The sequence below is a fragment of the Homo sapiens genome, chromosome 14 (assembly GCF_000001405.40).
Source record: "Homo sapiens chromosome 14, GRCh38.p14 Primary Assembly".
Classification (NCBI taxonomy): Eukaryota; Metazoa; Chordata; class Mammalia; order Primates; family Hominidae; genus Homo; species Homo sapiens.
In genome coordinates this window covers 76612595-76636517 of record NC_000014.9, presented here as the reverse complement: position 1 = coordinate 76636517, position 23923 = coordinate 76612595, and the positions used below count along the sequence as shown (strand labels likewise).

At 44.0% G+C, this 23923-nt stretch overlaps 2 pseudogenes, besides 2 other annotated features; one reads left to right on the top strand and one right to left on the bottom strand.

Annotated features, from left to right (window-relative positions):
• RPSAP3 (ribosomal protein SA pseudogene 3) lies at window positions 781-1813 on the top strand (annotated as a pseudogene).
• On the bottom strand, window positions 2190-2872 carry CYCSP1 (CYCS pseudogene 1; annotated as a pseudogene).
• Window positions 7026-7226: a silencer, noted in NCBI's record as "peak2203 fragment used in MPRA reporter construct". NCBI's record gives its function as "represses an SCP1 promoter by STARR-seq MPRAs in K562 erythroleukemia cells {active_cell/tissue: K562}" and the evidence as "EXISTENCE:reporter gene assay evidence [ECO:0000049][PMID:32103011]".
• Window positions 23343-23923: an enhancer, noted in NCBI's record as "OCT4-NANOG hESC enhancer chr14:77078938-77079518 (GRCh37/hg19 assembly coordinates)". NCBI's record gives its function as "activates a minimal SCP1, AML or CMV promoter by ChIP-STARR-seq in naive H9 embryonic stem cells {active_cell/tissue: H9 hESC(naive)}" and the evidence as "EXISTENCE:reporter gene assay evidence [ECO:0000049][PMID:30033119]".

The following is a 23923-nucleotide window of genomic DNA, read 5'->3' as shown; positions in this document are numbered from 1 at the left end:
ACTTGTTCCACATTTTTGTGAACATTTGATGTGCTCAGCCCTTCACATTTAGATATTCTAATACATACGTGGCTTTAACTTGCATTTTCTGATGACTGATAATGTTAAGCATCTTTTCATGTGTTTATTTGCCATTTTTATATCTTCTTTACTGAAACATCTGTTCAAATCTTTTGCCCATTTGAAAAATTGTGTTCTTTGTTTTCTTTTTATTGAGCTTTGAAAGGTCTTTGTTCTAGATACGTATCCTTTCTTTAATCTGTGGTTTTCTTTTTAATTATCTTAAGCTTATGATCACACATAATTTTAAAATTTGTGTGTATCTCCTCTACTTTAATCCTTTTAAGTTGGCAAAAGCACCACTTCCAATCACAAATATACAGCAGTTCTACAGTTTTATGTTTCTGAATGGGTGCGGTGGCTCATGCCTGTAATCTCAGCACTTTGGGAGGCCAAGGTGGGTGGATCACCTGAGGTCGGGAATTCAAGACCAGCCTGACCAACCTGCAGAAACCCCATCTCTACTAAAAATACAAAATTAGCTTGGCATGGTGGCATATGCTTGTAATTCCAGCTACTCAGGAGTCTGAGGCAGGAGAATAGTTTGAATCCAGGAGGTGGAGGTTGCAGTGAGCCGAGGTCGTGCCATTGCACTCCAGCCTGGGCAGCAAGAGCAAAACTCTGTCTCAAAAACAAAAACAAATAAAAAAACCCCCCCGACAATCCTAAATTATAACTTAGTTTGGCTTAGATTGTAAAAAATTAAAGAGTGAAGTTTCCTTTCCGTGCTACCTGCAGAGGGATCCATACGGCGTTGTTCTGGATTCCCGTCATAACTTAAAGGGAAACTTTCACAATGTCCGGAGCCCTTGATGTCCTGCAGATGAAGGAGGAGGATGTCCTTAAGTTCCTTGCAGCAGGAACCCACTTAGGTAGCACCAATCTTGACTTCCAGATGGAACAGTACATCTATAAAAGGAAAAGTGATGGCATCTATATCATAAATCTGAAGAGGACCTGGGAGAAGCTTCTCTGGCAGCTTGTGCTGTTGTTGCCATTGAAAACCCTGCTCATGTCAGTGTTAAATCCTCCAGGAATACTGGCCAGAGGGCTGTGCTGAAGTTTGCTGCTGCCACTGGAGCCACTCCAATTGCTGGCCGCTTCACTCCTGGAACCTTCACTAACGAGATCCAGGCAGCCTTCTGGGAGCCACGGCTTCTTGTGGTTACTGATCCCAGGGCTGACCACCAGCCTCTCACAGAGGCATCTTAAGTTAACCTACCTACCATTGCTCTGTGTAACACAGATTCTCCTCTGTGCTATGTGGACATTGCCATCCCATGCAACAGCAAGGGAGCTCACTCAGTGGGTTTGATGTGGTGGATGCTGGCTTGGGAAGTTCTGCGCATGCATGGCACCATTTCCCGTGAACACCCATGGGAGGTCATGCCTGATCTCTACTTCTACAGAGATCCTGGAGAGATTGAAAAAGAAGAGTAGGCTGCTGCTGAAAAGGCAGTGACCGAGGAGGAATTTCAGGGTGAATGGACTGCTCCAGCTCCTGAGTTCACTGCTACTCGGCCTGAGGTTGCAGACTGGTCTGAAGGTGTGCAGGTGCCCTCTGTGCCTATTCAGCAGTTCCCTACTGAAGACTGGAGCGCTCAGCCTGCCATAGAAGACTGGTCTGCAGCTCCCACTGCTCAGGCCACTGAATGGGTAGGAGCAACCACTGAATGGTCTTAAGCTGTTCTTGCATAGGCTCTTAAGCAACATGGAAAAATGGTTAATGGAAAATAAACATCAGTTTCTAAAAAAAAAAAAAAAAAAAAGAGTGAAGTTTAACTTGCTACTATTTTAAAAGCATGTGACCTTGTAGAGCATCTATAAAATGTGAGAAGTGTTAAATAATCTTTGATATTACACATAAACCACACTAAAATGCCTTTCAATAAGTAAAAAGAACCATTTTAAATACAGAGAATTCTAATTAGATTGGCACAGTTAAGGCCAAAAATATAAAGTAGACATTGCTCCCTTATTTATCTTCAACTCTTGCCTTTAAGAGGCAAATGAACACAAAACACAGGTGAATCTTGCTTGGTTCTGAGACAGTGAAGGAATTTCCCCAGTATTTAAATATATTCACATAACCAGTTATAGAAATCTAAATATAAAACCAATCTCCAGTGAGTTTTAAGATGGCATTCACCATCTTTGTGAAAAGTTGAACACTACTAATGAAGTCTAATCATATCTTTAGAAGGGGTAAACAGTGATAGCATTTACTGAATTGGAATTACTATTAACATTCAAAAACTGAACATACTCATTTAACCACAAGCCAGCCTTAGTTTTAAGTCAGGACTGCCCAACAGAATATTCTGTCAGTCATTCATGATCTGAATTCTGGTGTATGAGATCTATTATAGTCCACATAAAAAAGTCATGAAACATTTCTGTTTTGTAATTAATAAGGCAGTGACCCATTATTACTCAATAGTAGCTTTTTTGAGATAAGCTATCAAGTCTGCCCTTTCTGTCTTCTTCTTAATGCCGGCAAAGATCACTTTTGTTCCAGGGATGTACTTCTTGGGAGTCTCCAAATACTCCATCAGGGTATCCTCTCCCCACGTGATGCCTTTGTTCTTACTGGCATCTGTGTAAGAGAATACAGCAGCCTGACCTGTCTTCCGCCCGAAGAGACCATGGAGATTAGGCCTAGTCTTGTGCTGGCCTCACTTTTCCACAGTGTGGCACTGGGCACACTTCTGAACAAAAATCTTGCCTTTCTCAGCATCACTCATATTTAATTCTCTGTTTCATCGCTGGGGCAACGAAGGTTCCCATTCTGAAGCCGGACGTCCCACTCTCTAGATACATATCTTTTATCAGATATTAAGATCACAAATATTTTTTCCCAGCATGTGGCTTGCCTCTTCACTCTCTTAAAAGACTTTCATATGTAACTAACCTGCACATTGTGCACATGTACCCTAAAACTTAAAGTATAATAATTAAAAAAAAAAAAAGACTTTCAAAGACCAGAATTTTTTTTTTTTTTTTTTTTTTTTTTTTGAGATGGAGTCTCGCTCTCTTGCCCAGGCTGGATGCAGTGGTGTGATCTGGGCTCACTGCAGGCTCCGCCTCCCAGGTTCATGCCATTCTCCTGCCTCACCCTCCTGAGTAGCTGGGACCACAGGCGCCCGCCACTACTCCCGGTTAATTTTTTGTATTTTTTAGTAGAGACGGGGTTTCACCGTGTTCACCAGGATGGTCTCGATCTCCTGACCTTGTGATCCACCCACCTCGGCCTCCCAAAGTGCTGGGATTATAGGCATGAGCCATGGCGCCCGGCCCAGAAGTTTTAAATTTTGACAGATTCCAACATAATCTTTTATGGATTGTGCTTTTAATGTCTTACCTAAAAAATCTTTGCCTAACCCAAGATCACAAAAGCTTTTCACTTATGCGTTCTTTTAAAGTTTTATAGATTTAGGTTTAACATTTCATTCTATGATCAATTTTGAGTTTGTTTTTGTATATGGTGTAAGGTATATGTCGAAGTTCAACTTTTTCCATATGAATATTCAGTTGTTCCAGCAGCATTTGTTGAAAAGACTATACTCTTTCCGCTGAATTGCCTTTACGTCTTTTTCAAAAATCAGTTGATCATGTGTGTGGGTCTATTTCTGGATTCTCTATTCTATTTCGCAAATTTATTTGTCTATATTGATGCCAATATCATACTATTCTGATTACTGTAGCTTTATGATGAGCTATGAGATCAGGCTGTGTTAGTCCTCCAACTTTGTTCTGAAAGACTCCTCCAACCTTCCCTCTCCTCAGAAAACAAAGCTAGAGTTGATGTGAAGAGTTCTGGTTTTCCTTTTTTTTTTTTTTTGAGACGGAGTCTCACTCTGTCGCTCAGGCTGGAGTGCAGTGGCACGATCTCGGCTCACTGGAAGCTCCGCATCCTGGGTTCAAGCAATACTGTGCCTCAGTCTCCCGAGTAGCTGGGATTACAGGCGCCTGCCACCACAGGTGGCTAATTTTTTGTATTTTTAGTAGAGACGGGGTTTCACCATCTTGGCCAGGATGGTCTTGAACTCCTGACCGCGTGATCCACCTGCCTCAGCCTCCCAAAGTGCTGGGATTACAGGCATGAGCCACTGTGCCCGGCTTGGTCTTCCTTCTTTGCTTGGGCATTGAGTTGAGAGATTTTTTTAGGAGCAATCTTCCTCCATCCTCGACCATCTCTGCTAAGCTCCACTGGCTGTATTGGAGACACCTGAAACTCTAAGTTCTTGCCATACCACAGTCTCAGTCTATCTGAATGAAGTGGCCATGTCTTGTGCCTTGAGACCAAGGATCAGTTTCCAAGGAAAAGAAGACAAGTATACAGTGATCACAAGAGGGGCCCAGGAGGTAGCCTGGCACATGGCTGCCCTGCTCCGTGTTGGAATGTAGGAAACTGACTCAATTAGAATCTCTTTTGTGGAGTAAAAATGTGAGATAAAGACAGAATGAGGTCAGATGGCCATTTCTGAGAGGAAGCTGGATAGCCTGGTTATTTGAACTGTTCTGTCTGAAACATGCTGTGGTTCCCATTCTTTTCTCCCCAAATCTGCTCTTTGCTCAGAGGCCTCTGTTAAAGCCACCATCATACTTTTGCTGTACGAGCCAGAGTCATCATGGACACCTCTTACTCCTCCACTCCCATCACCAAGTTGGTCCCCAAGTGCTGTCACTTCAACCTTCTAACTTTCTCCCCAACCCATCCTCTTCTCTCTGTCTCCTTGGTAACCACCTGGCCTACCTGCTATTATCTTGCCCATGAATGACTTCAATGGCACCAACTGGTCTCTCAGCTTCCTCTCCGTTTACCACATGGCTCCCAGAGGAAATTTTTTTAATTAAACTTTTTATTTTGAGATAATTGTAGATTCACATGCAGTTGTGAGAAATGATACAAAGAGCTCCCATGTACCCTTCACCCTGTTTCCCTCAATAGTAACATCTTGCAAAACTACAGTATAATATCACTACCAGGATATCAACATTGATAAAATAAAAAACAGTTCTGGTGGCACATCGGTCCTTTGTTGTATGAGTTTTCTAGGCCTGCTGTAAGAAATGACCGTAAACGTGGTGGCTTAAGACAATAAGACATTTATTCTCACCGTTTTGGAGGCCAGAAGTCTGAAATCAAAGTGTTGGCAGGGCCATCCTCTCTCTGAAGGCTCTCGGGGAGAACCTTTCCTATCCCTTCCAGCTTTGGGTGGCTCCCGGCATTCCTTTGTTCATACCAGCATAACTCCAATCTCTGCCGGCATCTCCACCTCCTTTCTTCTCCCTGTCTCTCTGTGCATGTTCCCTTCTCTTTCTATAAGGATATCAGTCATTGGATTTAGGGCTCATCTTAATCTAGAAAGATCTCATCTTGAGATCCTTGTGTTAACTACATCTGCAAGCAAGGTCATATCTGAGGTTCTAGGTGGATGTGAATTTTGGGAGGATACTATTCAACCCATGACACTAGTATATTTGTTGGCCCGGGCTGCCATAACAAAATACCACAGACTGAGTGTCTTAAACAGTAGATATTTATTTCTCATAGTTCTGGAGGCTAGGAGTTCAAGTTCAGGGTGCTGGCTAATTCAGTTCCTGGTGAGGACCCTTTTCTGGCTCGCAGATGGCCACCTTCTCGCTGTGTTCTCACATGATGGAGAGGGAGAACGCTGGTGTGTCTTCCTCTTTAATAAAGGCACCAGCCCCATTGGATTAGGGCCCCACTATTATGACCCCTTTTAACCTTTGTCACCTACTCACAGACCCTGTCTCCAATAGAGGCATATTGGGGGTTAGGGCTTCTGCATATGAATTTCGGGGGTGGGGGGCACAAGCATTCAGTCCATAACAGCTCATGCTGCCCTTTTATAAGCCAAACTCTTCTCCTTCTATCTCACCCCATCTTTGACCACGGCAACCACTAATCTGTTCTCCATTTCTGTAATTTTGTCACTTGAAGAATGTTATATAAATGGAATCATACAGTATGGAATCTTTGGGGACTGGCTTTTTTTGCTAGCATAATTCCCAGAGGGATCTTTTTAAGATGCAAACCTGAGCACGTCACACCTCTGCTTCCAACCCTTTATTGCCCCTTGCTGTCCCTCTGCCCGGACCACACCCCCTCACCCAGCCCCTCACTCTTCCTCCTCTAGTCTCAGGTTAATGTCACCGAGGCTTCCTCTAGACATGCCGAAGACCACTGTCTTGTCCTCTCCCTTCCTAATGCCTGTAGTATTGGTAAATAGTTACTCAGTGTTGTCTTACTTTCCAGGAGGGAACCTGTCTTTCTTGTTCAGATTTTAATTCCTAGAGCTGAACGCTTGGTGTATAAAAGATATTTAATGAATGTGTGAATGAATACATGAATCAATAATGTAAGGTATCTAGCGTAGAAAATTATACCTAGGAGGTGCCCATGGTATGGCTAATGGAAGGATGGAAGGAAAGAAGGAAGGAAGACAGAAAGGGAGGCAGGGAGAGAGGGAGGGAAAGAGACATCTCCTGTATTCTGTAGCTTTAGAAACTCTGAGACTCAGAATAATAATATGGCCACAGAGATGCCACCCAAGCTGCGCTCTGTGAACTTTCCATGAACTCACCACAGAACGTTCTATTGGACAGCATTAATCTAGAGGGAATCATTCCTCTCCCATTCTCAGTTCACATGCTTGATGGTGTTGACTGCCCAAAGATGCATGGATGAACATGTGACCTGCAACCTGCCAATCAGGCCATTGCATGTGACTCAAGTCACAATCAGAAAAAACGTTGGGACTTTTGCTTACATGACCACAAAAAGACATTCTCTTTCCACTGATATGAACTGGGGTAGGGAGGTGGGGGAATTTAGGCGGGAGCTCTTGGCAGCCATTTTGTTCTGATACAGAACCAGAGAATGAAGCCGATAAAGAGGAAAGTGGAGCTGAGAATTAGGTCTTGATGATACTTCTCGAATCTTTAGATTGAAATTGTGCCTGAGGAGAGACAGTTAAATTCAGTGCACCAAATAAATTCCTTTTTTGTTTAAGACTTTTTTTTTTCCTACTTGAACTGACAGAACACTGATTAAACACACAGAGTAACCATTGTCAGTCACTTCCTCTTTTACCCTCAGGTTCCCTGTCTGAGAAGAGAGGAGGTTGAAATAAGTGGCTCACTTTAGTTTTTTTTTTTTTTTGAGACAGAGTGTCACTCTGTCACCCAGGCTGGAGTGCAGTGGCGCGATCTCGGCTCATTGCAACCTCCGCCTCCCAGGTTCAAGCGATTCTCCTGCCTCCTGAGTAGCAGGGACTACAGGCATGGGCCACAACGTGCAGCTAATTTTTGTATTTTTAGTAGAGATGGGGTTTCACCATGTTGGCCAGGCTGGTCTCAAACTCCTGACCTCGTGACCCACCAGCCTCTGCCTCCCAAAGTGCTGGGATTACAGGCGTGAGCCACCGCGCTTGGCTCACTTTAGTTCTTCAAACATATATTGAGCGTGCATTGCCAGGTATTTGTGCTTCGTACAGAATGGTGAATTAGATCCTGTCCTTCCCCTGTAAGAATTCACGAGTATAAACCTAATAGTAATATGCCATGAGAATTGCTTATGATTGACATGGAACCACAGAGGACATGCTTCATTCAGCCTTGGAGAAGAATTTACTGAGAAGGTCTCATGAAGCCTGGGTTTTGAAAAATGTAGGGTTTTTCCTAACAGAAAAATCAAGGGAAGGCATTTTAGTTAAGAAGAAAGTATGAGCAAAACTCCAAATTAAGAAAGCTCATGATCTGCTTGGAAAATAGTAGTTCTTTATTCTCAGAGCTGACATTATAAGAGTAGAAAGGATGGGCTACACCCTAGGAGAGGCTGGTGGGGCCTGGGTGCCATGGCCGTGCTTAAATGCCATGCTGGGGACTTTAGGCTTTCTCCTGTAGGAGAAATGCAAGCGGGGTAGTATGATGATCAGACTTGCATTTGGAAAGATTACCCTTGTGAGCAAGGAAGACAGATTGTGGGTGGAGAGAGACTGGAGGCAGAGTGGCTGGTTAGGAAGTTATTGCAATTGTTGCAGTGAACAATGACACAACTAAACTGTGCATTCCAGAGTAATTTGCAAAGTATTAGGTGCAGAATGGTAGATGCTCAAAACATGTTTGTGGAATAAACATTGATGAGTGATGGGGAGCATGTTATGGAAGAGGATGTCTTGATCATCTGAAGGTCATGAGTAGGGTGATGGATGGAGAGGGTAAAGAAGGGAATTGGAGGTGTCAAAGCCCACAGAGTCCAAATTAGGACACCACTGATATTTGCAAGTGCACTTCTAGTAGAGTGGAAGGGTGGGGATCTGAAGCAGTGCACTGGTTAGCAATGACAGCCAATGCAGTGGCTCTTAAAGGAGGGTGGGGGTTAGGAGAAGGAGAGAGGGCAGTAGAGGGAGTAGAAGAAAGTGGAGTGGTACAGCTGTTTCTTGTCTTCCAAGCCCCTGTTCTCTCACTTCTTACTTCCTAACAGAACCCCAGTTTTGTTAAGGTTTTTGTCCCACTCCAATGAAACCTTTTTGACTCAGAGTTGCCGGGATGGATGCTGATTAAGCCAATCTCAGCAATTCTATGCCTCTTTGCCATTGATTGGCTTAGGAACACTGGCTTAGGTCCATCAGTGCGGGGTGTTCCCCTGGCCACTGATTTATTGTCCAGGAATGGGCACTTGACTTCATGGTCCAATCAGACTGATCGAGGGAACAGTTTTTCTGAATAAGGAAATGTGTGGCCGTGATGCTGCTGGCCACCGTATAACCATCACGAGGGAAGCCATGTGAGGACAGAGTGCTGACCCTGCTCCTGACAGCCACTGGAGACTGCCTGAGACCCAGGCTTCTCACTAATGAGAGATAATACAGTTTACGATTGTTTAAAGCATTTTGGTTGGGTTTTTTGTTACACGCAGCTGTGGATTTTATTTTAGGGATGATGGATACTCAGGGTTAAGGGGGGAGATTCCAGAGAAGAGAAAGAGATTAAAGACACAAAATGGACAAAGAGGAGAAACAGGAGAGTTGATGGATCCAATTCCGAAAAGTGGGAGGCTGGGTGTGGTGGCTCATGCCTGTAATCCCAGCACTTTGGGAGGCCAAGGTGGCTGGATGACTTGAGGTCAGGAGTTCGAGATCAGCTGGGCCAGCATGGCAAAACCCTGTCTTTACTAAAAATAAAAAAATTAGCCGGGCATGGTGTGAGGCACCTGTAATTCCAGCTACTCAGGAGGCTGAGGCAGGAGAGGCAGAGGTTGCAGTGAGCCGAGATCGCACCACTGCACTCCAGCCTGGGCAACAGAGCTATATATCTATCTATCTATCTATATATATATAGATATATATATAGCTATTGCTACATATTAATAGATATATATAGCTATTGCTATATATTAAATAGCAGTACATATACAATACAAATAGCTATTGCTGTTTTTTTGTTTTTGAGATGGAGTCTTGCTCTGTTGCCCAGGCTGGAGTGCAGTGGTGTGATCTCTGCTCACTGCAATCTCTGCCTCCCAGGGTCAAGTGATTCTCCTGCCTCAGCCTTCCGATTAGCTGGGATTACCAATGCCCACCACCACACCAGGCTAATTTTTTGTATTTTGAGTAGAGATGGGGTTTCACCATGTCGGCCAGGCTGGTGTCGAAATCCCGACCTCAAGTGACCCTCCCACCTCGGCCTCCCAAAGTACTGAGATTACAGGTGTGAGCCACTGTGCCTGGCTGCTATTGCTGTTTTTGTTACATATTATTGTCGTTATCATTTTCCTCATCGTGAAGTGGATATCACAGGACGCCAGGAGACAAAACGAGTTCCGGGGTCTCACCCACTCCCTCTCTGTTCCCTTTGAGGTGCAATGCCAAGGGTTGCTGCTCAGGAATGACGGTCTGCAGCCCTGTGTCTGAAGGTGGGTTGTTGAGCTGTCTGAAGGGGGGTCCTGGGTCGGGAGCTGGACTGGCTCATTCAGTGATGGGTACATGCGGAAAAGTTTTTTGCACAGCCAAGCTCTTCAAGAACAACCGGGAAACCACTCAGTGTTAGGGCTGGAGAGGAAGGTGGGGAGTGGTTGCTCTGACCCTCTGTGTGTGGGGGAGGGGCAGGACAGGGTTGGGAGCTTGTGGTGTCATCCAGTCACTCCTCTTACCTCGTTTGGGACATGAGGGGCATGATTCTATTTATTCTTTTACAGAAACATAAAAAGATGTGAACATGAATCTAAAGAAAGTGGGGCTTTTAGCAGGAGATGTTTAGATACGCTTTCTCCTTCGTTGCCAATATTCAGCCCATCTCTGGGAAGGTACCCTTAGATCTTAGTGTGACTCTTATCTGCTTCTAGTGAAAAGAGAAAATCATTCCATAGCGGTGTCAGGTGGTCCCAGGCCCAGAATAGGATTCTCCCCAGGGATTTTCCTAAGAGCTTCTCCACCTGAGCACTGTGCCTGCAGAGGTGTGTAACTGTGGGCCACCCTGCTGCCTGGGGAGCATTTGAAGTAGCACAGAAGAGGCTCCAAGGGCCTAGATTTCCTAGAATTCAAAATTCTGAGGATGAGCCCAGGTCATCTGTGAGATGTCAGATGTCCTGCGTTGGGGAGACATTGTACTCCTTTGAATGGACTTCCGATTGAGCAACTCAGCCGCTGGAGGCGAGGGAACCACTTGCATGTGGTGGAAGCTACCACAGCTTGAGAATAATCCAGGGTGAAAATAAGGAGCCCCGGGGCACCATGGGAGTTCCTGGTTACTTGGGGTTGAGGCAATGGAAATCCCATTGTCCTAGGAGTTAGGAGACCCGGGTCTGTCTGGAAGAGACCCCGGATAAGCCACTTCACCTTTGTGGGATCTCGGTGATTTTGCTCAGTGGCCAACACACAATAGGTGCTCAGTTATGTTTGCAAAACCTCACTGATCTGTAAATAATGTCTGTCTGCTTATCTAAGAGTTTCGGTGGAATGATATATATATGGAAATGCTTAGAAATAAAAAGCACTGTGGAATCTTAAGGTGTTAGCCTAGTCATATCGGGGGAAGAAGGAAGGAAGGAACATTTCCTGGGGATCCACCGTGGTGCTGGGGCAGGTATTCCTACAGAGTGTTTCTCTGAATTCTTCCAGCAGTTATTCAAACTCAGGATGATTATTCCCATTCCTGCAGGTGGGTCCACTGAGCCTCAAAGGTAAAATAATTCTCTCCAGGTTTCATATCCTGTGAGGGGTCAGAGCTGGGGTTTGAGTCATTCTGCTTTAGGACATGCGGCTATTTCCAAGAGCCTGGCTTCAAGAGGGAGACGATATAGCCATTGGAGATAGAGATCACCCAGGCAGCGATATCAAGAATTCGAAGGCTGCCTGAGGCAGGGTGCGGTAGCTTACACCTATAATCCCAGCACTTTGGGAGACCGAGGTGGGTGGATCACTTGAGGTCAGGAGTTCCAGACCAGTCTGGGCAACATGGTGAAACCCATTTCTACAAAAAAAATTCAAAAATTAGCTGGACATGGTGGCGCATGCCTATAGTCCTAGCTACTTGGGAGGCTGAGTTGGGAGGGTCACCTGAGCCTGGGAGTTTGAGGGTGCAGTGAGCTATCATCACACCACTGCACTCCAGCCTGGGCTACAGAGTGAGACCCTGTCTTAGAAGGGTAAAAAAAAAAAAAAAAGAATTCAAAGCTAGGTGTAGGGGTGTGTGCCTATAATCCTAGCTACTCAGGAAGCCAAGGCAGGAGGATTGCTTGAGCCCAGGAGTTTGAGATCTGCGTGGGCAACATAGGAGAGGGCTGGGTACTGTGGTGTGTGCCAGCAATCCCAGCTGTATGGGAGGATTGCTTGAGCCCAGGAGTTCAAGAATAGCCTGTGCAACCTAGAGAGACCTCTTCTCTAAAAAAAATTAATAATTCAGAACCTGGGGGTGCCTAGAAAGGAGCTGGGCAGGCCCCAGAAAAGTGCAAGGACTGGTTGTAACTAGACAAGAGTGGCACAAACACTGAACACCTCCTCAGAGGCAGTTTATCCAGGCTACTGCCCACATCTTCCACCAGCCCAGAGCTGGGCTGGGCTGGACTGGGCTGGCTGCCCAAAGCCCTGCCCTCCTCACCTCTGCACTTGCCACCCCCAACCTGGCCTTTCTGATCACCTCCTCCTGCCTTTACCACTCCTGCTGAGTTCTGTCATTTGAGTCCCCTAATTTAATAGGTTTGTCTCATTATTTTGATTAATCATATTAACTCATGTTAATTAAGAGAGAGATTTAAGCATTGACAGAGGTTAATGGAATCAGCCCCTGTTCTTCTCTGGCTTTTGTTGGGGGTGCTGACAGGCGTTGGAGGAAGAAGAGGGACAAATGGGAAATGGAGCACCGGCAGGGAAAAGTCCGGGAAAATCCAGGGATTTTGCAGAGAATGAGAGGGAGAGAAAGGTATTGAGGAAATGATCAGTTACCAATCAGAGTTTCCTTCTAATTGAATGTCTGATTTTATTAATGATAGAATTTATAAAGGTCCTTAAGAAAAGAAAAGAATTTAGTCAGTTCAGCAGTTAACTGTGAAAATTAATGCAGAGGATATAAGTTAAAATGGCCATTTTATTTGTCTTCCTTTTTTTTTTTTCCTGGTGGTGGGGGATGAACCTGGGCCCATCACCTCTGAGGTCTTTTGCATTTCTGGGCTCTCTTTATTTGGCTCAGAAGAAGCAGGTAGATGGTTCCAGGGCCTCAACTTGACACTATTAAGGACAAAAACCACACCTATCTCTGTGAGGTCCTCTTTCCAGAGGAGGAAGCTGAGGCTCAGAGATGTTTGGTCACTTGTCCCAGGCTTCACAGCTTGAGAGCCGTGGCTCCAGGATTCCCACCAGGCCCCGACTCCCATGTCAGTGAGGTTGGTAATGACCGTGAGCCTTTTCTCCCAACTCTGGAAGCCAGTGTCCCCGCAATTGGCTTGTACGGTTGGGAGAAAACTTTGAGACCAGGAGTCACCTCTATCTGATCACAATGCCATCGGTTCTAGAGAAGAACTGTGACATCCTGGCATGGGACCCATTGGAAAGGACCTTCATGTGGAGAAGAAGGGAGGAGGGAGCAGCCGACGTGGCAGCACAGCTCTTGCCAGGTTGAGGTTTCCAGAGCTGGCCTCACCCCAGTGACGAGTGCCTCTCTCCTCATCTTCCAAGTTGTCTTGGGGATGAGAATTCCTGCTGTTGTGGGTTGAATTGTGTTCTTCCAAAAAGATATGCTGAAGTCCTAACCCCTGGTACCTGTGTGACTTTATCTGAAAACAGGGTCTTTGCAGGTGTAATCAAGTTAAAGTCATACTGAATTAGAGTGGCCCTAATCCAGTATGACTGGTGTCCTTATAAGAAGAGGAGAAAAGGCCGGGCTCGGTGGCTTATGCCTGTAATCCCAGCATTTTGGGAGGCTGAGATGAGCAGATCACCTGAGGTCGGGAATTCAAGACCAGCCTGGCCAATATGGTGAAACCCCGTCTCTACTAAAAATACAAGAAATTACCCAGGTGTGGTGGTGGGTGCCTGTAATCCCAGCTACTCGGGAGACTGAGGCAGAAGAATTGCTTGAACCCGGGAGGCAGAGGTTACAGTAAGCCAAGATCGTGCCACTGCACTCCAGCCTGGGCAACAGAGGGAAGACAACCATGTGAAGAGGGAGGCAGAGATTGGAGTGATGATGCTACAAGCCAAGCCAAGGAATGCCTGGGGCTACAAGAAGCTGGAAGAGATAAGAGAAGGCTCCCTTACTAGAGAGTTCAAAGAGCATAGCCCTACTGACACCTTGATTTTGGACTTCTAGCTTCTGGAAGTGTGAGAGGATACATTGCTGTCATTTTAAGCCACTTGGTTTGTGGTACTTTGTTACAGGAGCCCTAGGAAACGAATACACCTGCAAAGGCTTCACTGGGTCTGAAACTCCTTTACTTGCTGACTGGTGCTTCTTTAGCTTAGGTTTTGATCCCTATTAAAATGCAGCAAACAACTGGACATGGGGGCTCACGCCTGTTATCCCAGCACTCTGGGAGTCCGAGGCAGGAGGTTCACTTGAGGCCAGGAGTTTGAGACCAGTCTGGGCACCATAGTGAGACCACATCTCTACAAAAAATGAAAAATTAGCCAGGTATGATGGCATGTGCCTGTGGTCCCAGCCACTCAGGAGGCTGAGGCAGGAGGATTGCTTGAGCCCAGGAGGTCAAGGCTACAGTGAGCTATGATTGTGTCCCTGCACTACAACCTGGCCCACAGAGTCAGACCCTGTCTCTTCTTTTAAAAAAGCAGAAAATGTACTTTAGGTTGTTGTCTGTTCTTTACAGATAATTGGAAAGAGAGTGTGAGGTGCCTGGCATGTCTTGAGTGAGTGCCAACCTTGATCCAAGCTTGCCTTGGACAGTGTGTCCTGCACCCCTGACCCTATTGCTTGAACATCTAGATCCCAAACCTGTGAGTCTTTTTCCTGGGCCAATAATTTCAGAGTCCTATCTACTTTTTTCTTAGACCCTTGGGATGTACATAAATTCTCTATGGCTTGTAAACTAATTCTTACTAAGGTATCAGTGGCTCCCTGAGTCTACCATTACATATGAGAAGCTGCAGAGTTTACTTTAGGGGTTCTACTCCTTTCCCCTGCCACACTCATGGCAGACATCACTAAGAGGTCTCACAAGCTTTCTGTTAAGCCTGTGAGTGGCCTCAAAGTTCTGGACGCTAATTGATTAGTGTTAGTACTTCAAGATTCATTCATTCACTCAGTAAATGTTTGGGGAGTGATTACTAGTGACAACCTTGGTGCCAGGCACCGGAGATATAGTGGTGAACAACACAGATCACCCTGTAGTCTGGAGTAAACTTTTTGGGCCATTCCTGACTTAGTGAGAAGACCACTTACCTGGAATCAGAAATTCCACTGCCTGGACAATGCACTTGTCTGGTGTCAGTTTCATCATCTGTAAAATGAGGTTGAGCTAGATTACTTCCCATGTTTCTTTCCATATCTAAATTCAAAACTCTACATCTGAAAAGCAGACTGAAGACCTAGTATCTCAACCAACACCCACATCTCTGCTGGTTAGAGCTATAGGCAGATAGTGGTCATTTCGGAACAGCAGAGGCTTTTGGCAAAAACCTTCAACTGCATCCAGACAAAGCAGTGACTTCTCCACCTGGGGATGAGCTCCCTGAATCAGGCAGGCAGCCCCTTTCCTCAGAGGTGAGGGATAGGCACACAAGAGGGAACTCTGTGTATGAGGTGAACTTGGGGACAAATTAGTTCTCAGCTTCAACAAAATCAACTGAGCAGGTAGAACCAGAGAAGATACAATTTAGCAAAACCTTATGTGAAAAACATTTAGGGGCTGCTGCAATATGAAGCCATTAAGATCTTAACCTGCACTAACAGAAACAGTGTCCTAGATGAAGAAAGTGAGGGTCATTTGATCTCCTATGCAGTTCCTAGAATATTATCTTCATTTCTGAATCTCAGGTTTTAAAAGAAAAGGGTGGGCTGTGAGTTAACAATTAGGTGTCTTAATACAAGTATTTGTCACTTAACAGCCATTATTTCATTTTAATCCTAACAACAATGCAATAACCTAAGACAATTATCCCTTCACCCCTCCCCATTTCAAAGATGGGGAAATTGAAATTAAGCTAGTCCTCAAGGTCTCTTACCTATTTGGTGGTGGAGGCCGGACTGGAATTCAGGTTCATCTGACTCCAGAGCCCATGGTCTTTCTGTAGATAATCATGGCCTTGGGAATGTGAACAAGGAGGGATGTCAGACTTCAGCCTGGTCTTAAAGGCGAGAAAAGACAGAAAAAAGTGTGTGGGGTGAGGGTGGGGAGTGGGGAGGAGCAGGACATAGCAGGGAGAAAGGAAAGTGAGTAGAGGCTTAGAGATAAGAATCTAGGGCCAGGTGTGGTGGCTCACACCTATAATCCCAGCATTTTGGGAGGCTGAGGCAGGCAGATCATGAAGTCAGGGGTTTGAGACCAGCCTGACCAACATGGAGAAATCCTGTCTCTACTAAAGATACAAAAAATTAGCTGGGTGTGGTAGCACCCACCTGTAATCCCAGCTACTCGGGAGGCCGAGACAGGAGAATTGCTTGAACCCGGGTAGTGGAGGTTGCAGTGAGCAGAGATCACGCCATTGCACTCCAGCCTGGGTGACAGGGCAAGACTCCATCTCAAATTAAAAAAAAAAAAAGAATCTAGGAGGAGGTAAGAAGACTCACATTATTTGTGCATGGTAGAGGCAGTAGATAAGGGTGGGCAAGTTTTTGGTTTTGTTTTTTGAGATAGAGTATTGCTCTGTCACCCAGGCTGAAGTGCAGTGGTGTGATCTTGGCTCACTGAAACCTCAACCTCTCAGGCTCAAGTGATCTTCCCACCTCAGCCTCCTGAGTAGCTGGGACCACAGGTGTGCACCACCATACCTGGCTAAGTTTTTTTTAGAGACGGGGTTTTGCCATGTTGCCTAGGTTGGTCTCTACCTCCTGGGCTCAAGTGATCCACCTGACTCAGTCTCCCAAAGTGCTGGGATTATAGGCGTGAGCCACTGTGTCCGTCCAGTGGGTGGGTTTAGTCCAGATTACAGTAGGCTTAGAATGCTGGGTTAGGGACTATAGACTTTACCACATATATAATGGGAAGGTTGTAAAGATTGAATACTGCTTGGGGTTGGAGTGTCATAGTGAGGGCTGAGCTTCAGGAAGATTATTTATTGATCACATCTGTGGTGGGTAGGTAGGAGCAAAGAAGGGTACTACCCAGTAGGCTACGATAAGCAGAAAGTAATATGACAGAAATAAAAGAGATGGTTAAATTGCCCGTGCTTGCAATATTTCCTCCTCTCTTCATTTTCCAAGCAGGAATTATTCTTCCTGTAAACCATTAATTGTCTATTAAATAAATAAAACAGCTTTATATTTACCTAAATACCTACCATTTCCAGCAATCTTCAATTTCTCTCTATAGTTCTGAGTTTCCTTCTGGTATCATTTTCCTTTAGCCTGTAAAATTCCTTTGACTGTCCTTGCAGTGTAGGTAAGCTTTGTTTGGCTGAAAAAAATCTTTATTTGTTCTTTGTTTTTGAAAGCTATTTTCACTGGATGTAGAATTTGAACTCTAGGCTGGCAATTTTTGTTTTCTTTCAGCACTTAAATATGTCACACCATTGTCTTCTGACTTGCAGTGTTTTAAACAGGAAGTCTATCATCATTCTTATCTTTGTCCTCCTGTATGTAATAGATCTTTTTTGTCTGGCTGCTTTTAACATTTTTCTCTTTACTCCTGATTTTCAGATATTTGATTATAATGTGCTTTAGTGCTATTCATTGTGCTGTTCATTGTGTTTGCCCCACTTGGGGTTTACTTAGCTTCTTGGATTTGTGGGCATATAATTTCCATCACATTTGGAAATTTTCTTCAAATATGTTTTCCCCTCCCAATTTCTGGGATTTCAAGTATTTGCATATTAGACTGTAGCTGGTATTTTCCCACAGATCATTAAACTCTGTATGTGTATGTGTGTGTGTGTATATATATATTATATATAAAATGTATATTAGGACTTTTATTCTTTTTTAATTCTTAAATTTATTTACTTATTTATTTTTCGAAATGGAGTCTCACTCTGTCGCTTAGGCTGGAGTGCAGTAGCATGATCTTGGCTTACTGCAACCTCTGCCTCCTGAGTTCAAGTGATTCTTCTGCCTCAGGCTACGGCATAGCTGGGATTACAGGCACACATCACCATACCCGGCAAATTTTTGTATTTTTTAGTAGAGATGGGGTTTTACCATGTTGACCAGGCTGGTCTTGAACTCCTGACCTCAGGTGATCTGCCTGCCTCCTGAGTTCACGCCCAGGAGACATGTGAAACATACCTCCTACAACATGATGCCGCAGAACAGCTACTCTGATTTAGTATCTTTTTTGACTGAGTTACAGAGCACAGTTTCCAGGGTTGGGGATGTTAATCCTGCCTCCCTGCTTTGTCTCTGAGCCACTCATGATGCCTCCTGTGGGTTGAGGCATGAATAAGCCTTTTGCCAGGAAACTCAGGATGGTAAGGAAGCTGGTTGCCACCTTCCCCTCACGTTTCCAATGTAGAAACCATGATTTGGGGAAGATTTTTCACAGGCTTAGTGCCACACAGAATGTGGGGAGGGGCATCAAGATATGGAAAATTCCATTCTCTTACAGTCTGCTCTGAGTTTTTTTTTCACTTCTCTGTAGCCCCCCAGAAATGACTCATAATTCTGGGATATTGCTGGTAATAATCTCAGCACTGTATATTTGTTTCGGTTTTTCTGTTGTGGGGAGTGAAGTCAGCCTGTGTCTACACTGCCATTTTAGAACCAGAAGTCTCTAGAACCTTTATTCTTTATCTGCTTCAATTTGTGTAGTTTCTAATGCTATATGTTTAATTACTTAATTGCTATATATTTTCAATTTTTTATTTTTCAGTGTCTAATATGCTAAAAAGCCATTCAATAGATTTTTTATTTCAAATATTATATTTTTTAGTTCTAAATGTTCCATTTAATTCTTTTTCATATCTTTCATTTCTCTTCTCATTATATTCATGTTTTCCTTTAAATATTTGAGGATATTTATAATATATGTTTTTAGCTGTTTAAACGTTAAAGGTTTTGTCTGTTAATGGTTTGTTTCTTCATTTCTTTGTCTCTTTCTCTTGACTTTTTCTCTCCTTCCGGTTATTGGTCTCATTCTTGCTTCATTGAATGTCTTGTAATTTTTGGATGGGTGCTAGGCATTTTCGATGTTACATTATTGAATGTCTAGATTTTGTTGTCTTCCTTTAAAGAGAAAAAAAGTTTGTTTTAGTTGATTGTCACGTTTCTTTGAATCAACTTGATCCTTTTTAGGCTTCTTTTTAAGCTTTGTTAGGATGGGTGTAGAGTAGCCTTTACTTGAGACTGGTTTACCCATATTATTAAGGGATTACCCCATAGGGTCTTTAGGGAGACACTGAGGTCTCCCTGTTCTGGCTAGCTGGGAATTGACAACTCCCTGTACTATGTGATGAACAGTCTCAAGGAGGACTCTAAAGCATATTTCTGGAGTTCTTTCTCTGCATATTCCCTTATCTTTGATACTCTGCCCTTCAAATTCCAGCCACCTCAGCCTCCTTAAACTCAAATCTCAGTTTCCTGAATTCAGCAATATTGTTCTTTTTTGCTTGGATACTCTGTCTCTGCACTACGATCTGGAAAATAAATCCAAGCAGAAAACTGGAGTGATTGTTTTCTTTCTCATTCCTGTGAGTGTGTTATCTAAAGCCTGAAATTAGCTATTTCATATATTTTTAATTTTTTAACTGGTTTTTGGCAAGAGGATAAGTTGCATATAAGTTAATTCATTGTGGTCATCTAAGTCACTGAACCTACTTTTGTCATCTGTAAAATGGGTATAATGATCACCACTGACTTTGGAGAGTTGTTGTGAAGCTTAGAACCCCCTCTATGAACAATTGCTACATGAATGCTCTTTAACCTCATGACTTCCTAAAGCTGTCCATAGTTAGCCCCACATCTCTAGCTCTGCTTCTTCAGGGACTGGAAGTGAGAAACTTGCAATGTGGCAGAAAGCATTGTAGTTTCCATGAGGACTTTTGAGGGCCTCAACTTGGGCTCTAATGCAGAAATGTCTCTTAAACTTCAGGGTCCACATTGCTTCAGTTGACAAGAGATTACATGACCCATCTGTCTACTCTATCCAAATTTCCAGTTACTGCTAAGGGAATATAAAAGGAAAGCTGGGAAGAAAGACACTGCCTCATATGAAATGTCTTGTTATCATCTGTGCTACTGTGCTATAATAAGAAATATATATTTCTGTCTTTGTCTCTGGTTCCTGGTGCAGAGTTCCTAAGTGATAGAGGTAAGAGGAATGTCTTTTGTTTTCATAATAAGACCCTTTCAATCATGTTGAGTTTATGCTAATGAGGTGACTGTGTTGGAGGATGAGGACTGGTTGCCAGGGGAACCAACCGTGTGATTAAAGGGCTGGAACTTTCAGGTCCACTCCGTTGACCTCCAGGGAGAAGAGAGGGGCTGAAGATTGATAATCACCAATTATCAATGATTTAATCAATCATTCCTATATAATAAGGCCTCCATAAAAACCCTGAATAATGGGGTTCAGAGAACTTCCATGTTGCTGAAGTGAGATGCTGGGAGGATGGCATGCCTGGAGAGGGCATGGAAGCTCTGTGCCCCTTCCCCATGCCTTGCCCTATGCATCTCTTCCATTAGGCTGTTCCTGAGTTGTATCCTTTATACTAAACTGGTACTAAGTAGTGTTTCCCTGAATCCTGTGAGCTGTTACAGCAAATTATCAAATGTGAGGAGAGGATCATGGGAACCCCTGATTTATATTCAACTTAGGCAGAAGTGTGGGAACCCTGAAGACTTGCTGCTTGCAATTAGCCTTTGAAGTGGAGGCAGTCTTGTGGGACTGAGCCCTTGCCTGTGAGGTCTGTGCTAACTCCAGGTAGTTAGTGTAAGAATAGAGTTAAATTGTAGGATACCCAGTTGGTGTCTGCAAAGAACTGGAGAATTGCTTGGTGTAGATAACTCATACATTTGGTGTCAGAAGTGTTGACAGTGTAGAAAAACAGTGTTTTCCTTTATCATCCATTGCAGAAACAGAAGTGTGGTACTATTGTTTTATAGTCCTTGCCACTTCAAAGGACGAGTCTGTCTGGAAGACCCTCACAGCAGCCCCTAAGACAGTATTCGAGAATTCTTCCTCTATATGATACGTTTTAGGGCACAGATTTAGCCTCTTTCTTCCATCATAGTATCTGACTCCAAGTAGACGGTCAGAAAATGCCTGTGGAATTATGAATCATGCTTCTGCAGCTCTCTCAAGTGTCCCCACCCTTGCCTACTTTATCTTAAAGATGACTGTGTTCTCATGGACACAGGAAGGGGAACATCACACACCGGGGTGTGTCGTGGGGCGGGGGGAGGGGGGAGGGATAGCATTAGGAGATATACCTAATGCTAAATGACGAGTTAATGGGTGCAGCACACCAACATGGCACATGTATACGTATGTAACAAACCTGCACGTTGTGCACATGTACCCTAAAACTTAAAGTATAATAATAATAAAATAAAATAAAATAAAAAGATGACTGTGTTCTAAAACTTTCTGCCCACATCATAGCCTTTTACAGATAGTATGAAAGCATCTCCACATTGAAGAAAACCAGCACCAGCACATGGCAAAGTGCTTGCGAAGGATGGGGCAGAAGAAAGGAGCTGGTGACATTTTCAGTGGTTTCGTTTGCATCCATCAAGTGAAGACATGTGACTAGGTGTTGTTGCAGTCTGGTTTAATAGTTAGGAATATGAACCCAGAGGAGGCACTGAAGGTCTTTCGGCCCCGGCTGGACTTGTCATTGCATGTGTTGCTCTCCACTTTCCCTTCGTAGCACTTTTCAGTTTGTAATTGTAGCAGGATGATGTTCTCTTCTCCTGTACCTCTTCATCCCTGTGAGTATTAGCATTCATCCCATCCTCACTTGTGAGTATTAGCAAGAGAAAGCTCTGTCTTATAGTTGATTCACACTGAAGACTCTAAAAGGCAAACGCTCTGTCTTATAGTTGATTCACACTGAAGACTGTAAAAGGCAAATTCATCTCCTGTTGTGAGGTTCCACTTTCGCCTTCCAGATGGAGCAAGGAACTCTGGTGGGAAGTGATGGGGTGGAGTGGATAAGACAAGGGAACAAAGACAGGAGCCAGGAATAAGAGACACCCAGGGGCCCATCTAAGGTAGAGTTTGTGTGAGATGAAAGACAAGCTAATGGGGAAAGGGAATAAACATTTGGCAGCATTCTCTGAGTGTGTGTTTGGAATTAGTTAAATCAGTGGTTCTCAACCTTGATCATACATTTAATTCACCTGGGTATCTTTTATAAAATACTGATATCCTCCAAATATTCTGATTTGTTGGTCTGAGATGGAGCTTTGGCATCCATATTTTAAAAAACACCCAGGTGATTCTAAATGTAGCCATTATTGAGAATCACTGCACTAAATAGTAACATGGTTTTCTTTTGTCGCTATGGATTCCGAAAATCAGTCACGACTGGACCTTAGTGGCAAAATGTAGATTTTTGAGTGGAGGAGGGTGACTTGCAAATCACGAATGAGTGGAAAGAAGGCATATTTATGGCTGAGGTACCCCAAACTCCTGGGTTTACATTCCTGCCAAGAGCTTAGCACAGGGGGACCCGGGTTGAAGTCTTAGCTCTTTCACTTGTCAGCTGTGTAGCCTGGTCAAGTCACTTAATCTCTCTGAGCTTTACTTTCAGCATCAAAGAGAGAATAAAGGAATGGTCCAGCCAAGGAGGCAAGAGGGTGTGGATTCTGTAGCCAGGTTGTCCTGACACTTATAAGCCATGTAACCTGGGCAAATCCCTTAACCACTCTGAGACTATGTTTTTCTCACCTGTGAAATGAGGATAATAATACTCAAAGTGTTGTCATAGGAGTAAGTAGATTACTTTACGTAAAGCACTTAGAATAGTAACTGGCACATATCAGATGTTAGCCAGACAGTCAGTCATAATTTCCTGATTCCTGCTAGAACTACCCGGATGCATCTCCCTCCCTCTATGTCCCAACATGTTTGGGTAGAGAGCACTTCCTTTCTCTGGATTCCAGTAATTTATTTGTCTAGTTTTTCAAATAGGCAATTAATATATATTTACAAATTAAAAGTTATGGCTATGGAAATACTTGCTCAGTTGGCCTTGGAAGATCACCACATATTCTCAGAGTATTGGTTGTTTTGCCTTAATAGTGACGGTGGTGAACAAACAGCCTGCCATCTGAGAATGGGTGCTGCCAACCCTGGAGGCATTTTGTAGGTGTTTCCCTTCAAATGCGCTTCCCAACAAATGCACCTCTTCATTTTCTCTTTCATATGGGGAAGCTGAAGAGGATGCTACAGGGGAAGAATACTAGGAGCTACCTAAAAGCTACAAGGATGACAGCTCTGATGAATCCAGTGTTATAAAGGATGAGTACAAGAGAGACAGAGACGAGTGTTGTCATGGGATTGGTTACAGTTGCTTTCCTGAATACTTCCTCCATTATTCTGGTAACAACACCCTGATTTTCCTCTGGAAAACCACCCCCACCCCCGACCCCAGCTCCAGAGGAAGGAGACATGAATAAACCACAATTGGTAATCAGAATATTTCATCTTGCCTATCACAGTGACTGGCTCAAGGGTGGGCACATGACTCAAGTTCATCCAAGGAAACTCATTTTCATTTGGTTTAGTTTGGTTTGTAAGAACCTCTCTTGCCCCAGTGGTTGCTGTGCTGGTTTAATGTAAACCTGAACTCCCGGTGGCCATTTTTGCCACAACGTGGGGAAAGTCAGCTGTAAAAATACAGTCAACACAGGGAAACCAGAGGAAAGATTTGAAAATGGATGGGCAGAATGCTGACGATGAGGCTACAGTCCCGGATCCAGCTGTGCCTGAATGCTTTGTCGATAAGCCAATAAATTTCCTTTGGGCTTGAACTGCTTGAGTTGGATTTCTGTCATTTGCAACTGAAAGAGTTGTGATTACTAAGGTACCTCACAAAGGAAGAGCTATGGTGGGTGATTGGAAAGTGCACACAAATAGGGTCCAGAAGGCTGAAGACCAGGAAGGGATGAAGCTGATAGAAAACTAAATGCAACCCTTGTTTGTTCATTTAGCAATTGTGTTTTTAGGCCCTCATTCGGCAACAAGCAACAGAAACTCACTCAAATTTTCTTGAGAGAGAGAGAGCCC